Source organism: Homo sapiens, chromosome 12 (genome assembly GCF_000001405.40).
Source record: "Homo sapiens chromosome 12, GRCh38.p14 Primary Assembly".
Lineage (NCBI taxonomy): Eukaryota > Metazoa > Chordata > Mammalia > Primates > Hominidae > Homo > Homo sapiens.
Window position 1 is genome coordinate 73,206,874 of NC_000012.12, and position 10,795 is coordinate 73,217,668.

At 32.8% G+C, this 10,795-nt stretch overlaps 1 long non-coding RNA gene across 1 annotated transcript in view; it reads left to right on the top strand.

The window, feature by feature from the left end:
• LINC02444 (long intergenic non-protein coding RNA 2444) overlaps window positions 1-1,444 on the top strand; it is a 49,128-nt gene extending 47,684 nt beyond the window's left edge. Inside the window, exon 4 of the long non-coding RNA NR_110130.1 lies at window positions 574-1,444. This is a non-coding gene — a long non-coding RNA (long intergenic non-protein coding RNA 2444). The remainder of the gene's footprint in view (window positions 1-573) is intronic.
• Window positions 1,445-10,795: the final 9,351 nt, after the last annotated feature.

Genomic DNA, 10,795 nt, shown 5'->3' on the forward strand with positions numbered 1-10,795 from the left:
GAACAGCACACACCACAGGAATGCCAAGTACCTATAGGATGGTGATACCATACATGACATGACTGAGAAAGTTCTTCTTTTCTGGAGTCCTAGCTAGGTTCAGCTCAGTTTTCTTGGTAGTGTTTTTCAGGATAGCCCCATCCCAACTGGTTTGGCCTGTTTCCCTTTTTCTTGTAGGTGTTTTCCTTTCTTGATGGTATCTATTTTGCTACTTACAAATAGGCGGTAATGGATTAATACCAGACATCACTCAAGTAACATATTAACACTTTAACAGTAGGCTTTTATATAAGGAAATTATTAAATCTCAGTTTCTGGATATGTCCATGGCAGGAATAGTGGTGGGTGGGTATGATTTTTAATAACCTCCAACTCATAAGCATAGACAGTGTTCACACTGGGTCAGTTTGTTTTGCCCCCTGAGATATTTAGGATAGTCGACTTTATCTGGATCTCTCCCTTCCCCTAGGTGGCACTACATTTAGATGCATGCTCCACCAGTGCTAGATTTGTTCTATGAAACCATTTGTAAATCACAGTTGAATAATTGCTCTTTCTTTCCCTTCCCTTAAGCTCTTACGATGCATAGAGTGCCTAGAAAACCCACACAAAATTACTATCCATTCTACAGAGCACCAATCTCATGGAATAGAAGTTTCCTTAATGATTTTGTCCTTCTCTGGGAACCTATCTGTGAGTTCTAGAGAACTCACACCACAAAGAAAACTGTCTGCTCTGAATATGCCGGATCCACTCAATGCTGAAGTGTGTTCTCTGCTTCATTGGCGGCCTGATGATTGCAGCACTCTCATAACCAGTCTTCTGATACCCAAGCTCTCAACTCTCATCTCTCATCACCTTACCATCAGGAAACATTCTGAAACAAGCATCTGAAACACATGATTCTCAATGCTTTATGCTGGTTAATGATTCTTTATTGTTTAAAATATTTAAGCATGGTATCAAATGTTGCTCAAAAGCTGACCACTGTTTTGATACCAGTACCATGCTGTTTTGGTTACTGTAGCCTTGTAGTATAGTTTGAAGTCAGGTAGCGTGATGCCTCCAGCTTTGTTCTTTTGGCTTAGGATTGACTTGGCAATGCGGGCTCTTTTTTGATTCCATGTGAACTTTAAAGTAGTTTTTTCCAATTCTGTGAAGAAAGTCATTGGTAGCTTCATGGGGATGGCATTGAATCTATAAATTACCTTGGGCAGTGACCAATGGAACAGAACAGAGCCCTCAGAAATAATACCACACATCTACAACCATCCGATCTTTGACAAACCTGACAAAAACAAGAAATGGGGAAAGGATTCCTTATTTAATAAATGGTGCTGAGAAAACTGGCTAGCCATTAGGTAGAAAGCTGAAACTGGAATGCTTCCCTACACCTTATACAAAAATTAATTCAAGATGGATTAAAGACTTAAATATTAGACCTAAAACCATAAAAACCCTAGAAGAAAACCTAGGCAATACCATTCAGGACATAGGCATGAGCAAGGACTTCATGACTAAAACACCAAAAGCAATGGCAACAAAAGCCAAAATTGACAAATGGGATCTAATTAAACTAAAGAGCTTCTACACAGCAAAAGAAACTACCATCATAGTGAACAGGCAACCTACAGAATGGGAGAAAATTGTTGCAATCTGGAGTTTGAGACCATCCTGGCCAACATGGCAAAACCTTGTCTCTACTGACAATACAAAAAGTAGCCAGGTGTGGTGGCACATGCCTATAATCCCCAGCTACTCAGAAGGCTAAGGCAGGAGAATCACTTGAACAGGGAGGTGGAGGTTGCAGTGAGCTGAGATTCTGCCATTGCACTCCAGCCTGGGCGACAAGAGCGAAACTCCGTTTCAAAAATAAAATAAAATAAAATAAATTCTCACCAATAATCTAATACCTGAATTAGATCTCACTGAACTAACTTCCTCATTTTAGGAGCAGTACTTACCATTGAGATCCCCAAGTTACACAAGCAGTGAGTCCTATTGTTGATATGTAAGCATAGGTATTTTGACTCCAAGTGGTGTCAAAATTTTTTCGACTTTTTAGAAAAAGTAGAGGCTCACAGTGTCAGAACAAACTCGGCTGCTGAATGTGAATTCCTCCAATTTGCCATCCTTTCCTGCTGAACAAAGGAGGTAATTCTGTACTAAGACTCTTCTTACTGATAGATGTGGTCCACAGTCTATGGTCCTGACCTGGGACTTGCCATGAACTTCTTGGCTTCCAGACCTTGCAGTTCATAAGTAACAAAGGCCAGAGATTTGTAGTATTGTTGTGGGAGAAGGCATCCTGATTCTCAATAATAATACATTAGTTCTCAGTAATAATAAATCGATGGACAGTTGGGAACCAAAGAATCCAGGGTTAGTGATGAGATACTAGAACATTCAGCTATTTTCAGGACATAGTGAGTTCACTTGAGAGTTCTCTATAGAGAAGTTTCATACTCTTATAACTATCTGTCTTCAAATGGAGATCAGATAAAAAGGGTAGGCAGAGTAACTTGCGAGGAATGAATAGCCTTTTTTCCCCTCTATTTCTTTAGCTCATATAGAACTCTGAGTTGTCAATCTTGCGTATATACATCATGCAAAATCAACTTTGTTTCGGAGCTCCGTGGCAGATTCTCATTGTCTTTTTATCAAGAAAAATAAAACATTTTGCTATTATATTTACAATAGCTATGTTTCAAGCTTTTATACTTTTTCTATTCTATTTTTCATTTTTGCACTTCAGAGTGCAAAGGCATGTTTCACAGCATTGTAAAAAAAAAATACATATCATCTAATTCCTCTAACTTCCCATATCTTGACTAAAACTCTGTGTAAGCATAAGGTACCATCTTACATTGTCACTCTATGTACTTCTGGCTCTGAACCATCTTTCCTGTTCCTGAGAGATACTCAGAAAAATAATAGGGCGTCTTCCAGATGATTATGTGTCTGTGGGAAGCGGGTTAGGGAACACTAGACATTGTTTGTAACCTCTAACAATCCATTATTCATAAGCATGGGGTATTTGAAGAGCTGTCTTTCATGATTAAGAGATGTTTTCATTTTAATGGTCTCATATGTCCTCATAAATGCGTAGGCAGCACTTATATTCCATCATGACAGAGATTTCTGGGCTATAAAAATACATATGGTTTTATTTTGTCTAATAGTTTTCATCATTGTCAATATTCTATTTCATAGCATAAAGCTCCACAATGTTAGGTATTTGCAGCAGGAGGTCGATTAAATATATACACACCACTTTGACATTCTTATGTTCTCTTCTAAAACAAGACAAAAAGTAAATGCAAAAAGATATAAAAGAGTGCAGGTAAAAATGAAAGAACAAGCAGCGTGAGATGATTCCAAAGTTAAGTTTTAGAAAAGATTTTTTTAAAATAGCTCTTATTTTAATTCGTGATTTAAATATAACATGTTCAGTATTTTACTTCTTAGAGATGTAATGAGAGTTAAATTAGACTATCTGAAAAGCACATCAAAGTTTGTATTTAACCCCTATTAAAAATACTATTTCTTACTGATAATTTTTCAATTTTGATTTGTAACCTAACCTAATAAAAAGACTGATTTTATTTTTATGACTGCAAACATACTATTCAAAAAGACAATGGCATTCATTTTGTGGAGTCTACATTCTGTCATACAGTGGTATGCAATATTATAGTGGGTAAAGAGAATTCCATTTTAGAGAGGCTTGGTTATGTTTATGAAAACTATGCTCATTCAGTGTACTGCTTTCATACATTTAATTCCCATGTAAAATTCATTAGGACACATTATGCTGTGAGAAACTTGGAAAGCATATTTTTCTGTTTTCGGTCCTGGAGCACATTTGTCATAAGTGCATGCGTTGGACATTTTCTATTCCGTTTCACTTTTATTTATAATTCTTACACAACCTTTTTGGAAGTGGCATTGAGTTTCACAATTTAGATTGTTTAGTGGAAGTTCACTGGCTACATTCCAAAATCTAATTACTTGGCTTAATTGAAAAACTTTTAGATTTGCGCTGGCTGGCATTTTCTTACTCCATAGATAATAGGTTAGTTTTTCTCCTCAAAGTAAACCTCCTTCCCAAACCAAGCACACACCTACAACACGTAGTTGAGCTGTGACTGCCTCCTGCTTATAATTACCAACAAAATAGAGGAAAGTCACAGGTTCTCCCTTCCTGAAGTGTTGCTAATAGAACATCTCAATCTTAGAAGGAAAAAAATGTTTGCTAGAATTTGGAACTAACAAATTGTCAAGATGCCATAATATGAAAGTAAGTTTCCATTTCACTTCAAAATATTTCAGCACTTTGTAAGTTTTGCTCAGAGTGATGGGTTAAAAATATTTTCTATAAACAAATATGGGACATAGTCATTTGACATTTAATAGAGCATATGCAATTATTTACATTTCCTGAAAGAGAAAATAGGAAAAACAACTTTCGGGGCATATACAGTATTCCATTGTCTTAATCTATTGTGTACTGCTGTAAAAAAATACCACAGACTGAGTAATTTATAATGAAAATAAATTTATTTGGCTCATAATTCTGGAGGCTGAGAAGTCCAAGACTGAGGGTCTACATCTGATAAGGGCCGTCTTGCTCGGTCATCCCATGGCAGAAGATGGAAAAGCAGAAGAGAACACGTAAGAGAACACATGAGAGGGAGGAAGGGAAGGCCAAATTTGAAATGATAACAAATGCACTGTCATGATAAGAAACCTTGCCCTGCAATAATGACATTACTCTATTCATAATAACAGAGCTCTGGTAACCTAATCACCTCTTAAAGGTCTCACCTCTCAACACTATTACACTGGGGATTAAGTTTCCAATGCATGGATTCTGGGGGACGCATTCAAACCACAGCATCAATGTTCTGTTGAAACTTTACATTTTAGAATAAAAGGAAAATCTAAATTTTTATTTCTTACCAGAGTATATGATAATGGAGAAAATTATAAAAATCATAATTAATTAAACAGCTGCTTAAATTCAACCCATGAGTCTATTAGAATAAAATAAAATTTGTTGAGGACATGTTAGTGCATGGCTACCACTGGCAATCAATTTCACATACTATTTCTTTCTAAATTTATTGAGGTATATTTGACAAATAAAACATGTATGTATTTAAGCTGTACAACCTGATGTCATGATATATGTATGCACTATAAACTGCTCACGATCAAACTAAGTGATATATCAATCACCTCAAATACCTTTTTATTGGACTGATAACACTTAAGATCAACTCTCTTAGCACATTTCAAGTATACAATACATTGTTGTTAACTAGAGTCACAGTGCTATATGTTAGATCTACAGAAATTATTGTTCTGTGTAACTAAAACTTTATACCCTTTGATTAACATTTCCCCACTTCTCTCAGCCTCTGGGCTTTGGAAACCACTGTTCTACTCTCTGCAATTATGAGTTTGACTTTTTAAAACTTCACATGTAAGAGAAATCATGCAGTATTAGTTTTTGTGTGTCTGGCTTATTCTACTTAATATAATGTCTTCTAGGTTCATCCATGTTGTTGAAAATGGCAGTATTTCCTTCTTTTGAATGCCGAATATTCCATTCTCTGTGTGTGTGTGTGTGTGTGTGTGTGTGTGTGTGTGTGTGTGTAACATGTTTTTAATCCCCTCTTCCTACCAGGAACACTTAGATTGGTTCCACATTTTGGTTATTTGTGAATGATGCTATAGAGAATATGAGGATACAGATATCTCTTTAGGATACTGATTTTATTTCTTTTGCATATACGTCTATAAGTGAAATGGCTGGATTATGTGGTAGTTCTATTTTTAAAAAATTTTTGAGGCATTTCCATACTGCTTTTCACAATGGCAACACCAATTTATAGTCCCACCAACATTGTAAAAGGATTACCTTGTTTCAACATCCTAACCAATGCTTCTCTTTTATCTTTTTGATAATAGCTTTTCTAGCAGGTGTGAAGTAATATCTCATTGTGGTTTTCATTAACATTTCCCTGATGATTAGTGATTTGAGCACTTTTTGATTTACCTGTTGTCCATTTCTATGTATTCTTTTGGGAAACATCTATACAAATCCCTAGCCCATATATTAATCAGGTTATTTACTATTTTGCTATTGAGTTGTATACATTTTTGATATGCTTTGCATATTAACCCCTTATCAGACACATGGTTTACAAGTATTTTCTCCCATTCCATAAGCTGAATTTTCACTCTGCTGATGATTTTATTTGCTGGGCAGAAGCTTTATTATTTGATACAGTTTGACTTGTCTATATATGCTATGGGTATTTGTTCTTTCTTTAGAGGTTATATCTAAAAAATTATTGCCCAGACAAATATCAAGAAACATATAGAAACTATATGTGCTTCTACTAGTTCTATGGTTTCTGGTCTTAAGTTTAATCTTTAATCCATGTTGAGTTGATTTTAGAATGTTTTATAAGACTATGTTCCAATTTTAAACTTTTGCATGAGGAGATTCAGTTTTCTCAGCACTATTTATTGACAAGACTGTCCTTTCTCCATTGTGTCTTCTTGGCATCTTTGTTGAAGATCAGTCGACAAGAAACACGGTTGTATTTCTGGGCTGTTTGGTTTCATTCATCAATCTCTCTTTTTGTTCCATTACCATACTTTTTTAATGGCTCCAGCTTTGTGATGCCTCCGTTTTTGGTCTTGTTGCTCAAAATTGCTTAGCTATTTGTGGTCTTCTGTGATTCCATATGAATTTTAAGATTTTTTTTCTATTTTTGTAAAGAATTTTACTGAGATTTTTGATAGGGATTGCATCGATTCTTCAGATCACTTTGGGTAGTATAGACATTTTAATAATATTAAATCTTTCAACCCAAGAGTATAGGATGGCTTTCCATTTGTCTGTATATTCTTTAATTTTCATTGATGTTTTATAAGTTTTAAAAGTCTTTTACTTTTTGATTGGGTTTAGTTTTTAGTATTTTAATTTTGTTGTTATTGTGAATGAAAATATTTCTTAGTTTTCTTTTCCAATGGTTCATCGTTTGTTTATATAAATGGATCTGATTTTTTGTGTTGATTTTTTATCCTACAAATTTACTGAATGTGTTTATTAGTTCTAACAGGTTTTATTTTTTCGGTTGAGTCTTTACCGTTTTCTACATATATGATCATGTCTTCTGCAAACAGATATAATTTAACTTCTTCCTTTCTTATTTGGATACCTTTTGTTTAATTGTCTAATTGTTTAACTAGAATTTCTAATAGTATGTTGAATAGAAGTGTTGAAAATCTACTGTATGTTGGGAGAAAAGTTTTGAGGTTTTCCCCATTTATTATAAAGTCAGCTGTAGAGTTTTCATCTGTGGCCTTTATTATGTTAGTGTAATTTCCTTATATACCTATTTTGTTGAGAGTTTTAATTATGAACATACGTTGAACTTTCTCAAATGCATTTACTCCATTTATTGAGATGATCTTTTTTTTCTATTTTTTTAAAAATGTGGCATATCGCATTGATTAGTTTGTGAATGTTGAACAATCCTTGCTTCCCAGGAATAAATACCACTTGGTTATGATGTGTAATCATTTTAATGTGCTGTTAAATTTGGTTTTCTAATATTATATTGAGAAATTTTGAATCTATGTTCATCAGAGATATTGGTCTGTAGTTTTCTTTGTATGTGGTGTCTTTGTCTGACTTTGGTATCAGGTTAAAGGTATACTCACAAAATGAGTCTGAAAGTGTCCCCTCCTCTAATTTTTGGAAAAGTTTAATTCTTTTTTGAATGTTTGTTAGAAGTCACCCTTGAAGACTTATGGTGGTGGGTCTTTCTTTGTTGGGAAGCTTTTAATTACTAATTCAAACTCCTTGTGTGTAATTGGTCAGTACAGGTTTTCATTATTTCTTGGTTTAGCATTGGTAGGTTGTATATTTCTAGGAAATTATCAATTTCTTCTAGATTATCCAATTTCTTGGTGTATAATTATGATAATAGTTTCTTAAAATTTTTTAAAAAATCTGCGGTATTTATTATAATAGCTTCTCTCTCATATCTGATTTAATTTGATTCAATGTTTCCTTCTCCTTGGTCTAGCTAAAGATTTTGTCAGTTTTGTTTACTTAAAAAAATCTTAGTTTTGTTGATTTTTAAAATTATTTTTCTAAACTCTTTGATTTATTTTGGCTCTAATCTTTATTTTTCTTTTCTTCTGCTATATTTGGGCTTAGTTTATTCTCCTATTTTGTTTATCATTTATTTTTATTTGAGTCTTTTTTAATGTAACCATTTATTGTTATAAATTTTCCTGTTAATACTGCTTTTGTTGTATCCTATAAGCTTTGCTATGTAATTTTTTTTGTTTCATTCATCTTAAGATATCTTTTAAATTCCCTGTTGATTTTCTCTTTAACCCAAGGGTTGCTTAAGAGTGTCTTGTTCAGTTTCCATGTATTAGTAAATGTTCATTTTTCCTTACTATTATTGATTTCTAGTTTTATTTCATTATGATGGAAAAGATACTTAGAATGAATTTGGTCCACTTTAATTTACTGAGACTTCACTTTGTAATTTAACGTGTGGTCTACCCTGGAAAATGCTCCATGTGTGCTTGAGAATATGTATTCTTCTGTTTGGGGGTAGAAAGTTCTTTATATATTTGTTAGGTCCTTTTGGTCTATAGTATTGCTCAGTTTGGCTGTACCCTTATTGTATCTGGGGTATTTCAGTCTTCTACTGTGACTGTATTATTTTTTATTTCTCCTTTGGGATTTACCAATGTTTGCTTTATATTTTATATTTTGCTTGTTTTTTGCTTTATGCTTTATATTTTGCATCTATGCTGGTATATATTCAGGTGTTTTGATGTTGGGTACATGTATATTTGTAATTGTTATATTTTCTTCTTGAGCTAATGCTTTGATCATTATATATAATAAACTTCTTGTGTTTTGTGAAAGATCTGAATTAAATCTATTTTGTCTGCTCTCTTTTGGTTACTATTTACCTTGAATATCTTTTTCCATCCATTTACTCCATCCTGTGTGTTCTCTTGTAGGTAGCATATAGGTGGATCTTGGTTTTATCCATTCAGCCACTTTATGTATTTTGATTGGATAATTTAGTCTGTTTACTTTTAAAGTAATTATTGATAGGTAATGAAGTAATCCTGCCACTTTGTTAATGGTTTTCAGACTGCTTTGTAGTTCTTTTCATTCTTTCTTTCACTCTTTCTTTCTTTATGATTTGATTGTTTTCACAGTGGTATGCTTGGATTCTTTTGTTTTTAACTGTTCCATATCTATTGGAGATTTTTCTCTTGTGATTATTTTAAGATCACATAAAACATCTTATTGTTATAACAGTCAATTATAAAGTGATAACAACTTAAGTTCAATCACATACAGAAACTCCACATTTTTACTCCTGCTTCCAACATTTTATGTTATTTAAGTCACAATTTTCATAGTTTTATGTGTGCATATGTTAACAAATTATTGTAGCTATAGCTATTTTTATCTTTCACCCTTTTGTAATGGCATCAAGCAAGATACACACCATCATTGGAATATTATTCTGAATTTGACTATATGCTTTCCTTTATCAGCAAGTTTTATACTTTCATATGTTTTCACGTTATTAAATAACTTCCTTTCATTTCAGCTTGAACAAATCCCTTTCACGTTTTTCTGTAATGCTTGCCTAGTGGTAATGAACTCCCTCAGCTTTTGTTTGCCTAAAAATGTCTCTGTCTTTTTAGTATCTGAATGACAACTTTGTCAGGTATTATATTTTTAGGCTAAAAACAGCAATTAATGATATAAAGATGTATGATAATTTTAGATACTGATAAATGTAAAGAAAAATAATATAATGTAATACAATAACTTTTGAGTAGAGTAGGCAAGATTATCTGAGGTAGATTTTTGGAACTTGAAAAAATGTTAAAAATCATAAAAATATGCTTATGATATTAAAATATTTGTTTTGAAAATATTAGAGTTATTAATAATATTAACAAAAATATTTTACTTAAATGCATTCCAATATATGTATTGTTCTGTAGGGTAATGAATTTTATAAAACAAATGAAATTCAAACTTCTTAATGTAGCATAGTCAAATAAACACTATTTTAATCTGTGCCAAAGATGGAAGCTTTATTTCCTTATATTGACATTTTGATTGACGGTTGATGATTGAAATTGCAATTCTGGTAATTTATAGGTAGTTGCAGAATGCTTGAATGGACAATGAGAAAATTAAGTATTGCACAAACTACTAACCACATTTTTAAAGGTATCATATGAGCTTAAAATGTCTTTTCTAGTGTTAGGCATTGTTTTCTATTCATATTATAGAGGAATGATTCTGAAAACTTTGACTATTATTGTAAAAAATATATATATAAAACTAATTATAATCAAAATTATAATTGTGCAAATAAATCCTAGATTTAATTCCATAATAACCATAGAGAGGTGAGAGAGTAATAACTATAGTTATTACTATAGAACATCAAATGCATCTTGATTTCACATTAGAAATTTTATTATTATTCATAGTAACATAACCATTTATGTTACAAAGTATTCCAAGAATTAGTAACAGATTAAAACTGGTACCTATTGTACTAATCAGAAATTAACACTGGTTAATTTATGCCAAAAAAGATATATATTAGAAGTTTATTCAGTAGGTCACAGAATCAGTCGAACCTGGATTTGAAAAGGAACCAGAACAGCCAAACAAAGACAAGAGAGCACTGCAGGTGCACCATGT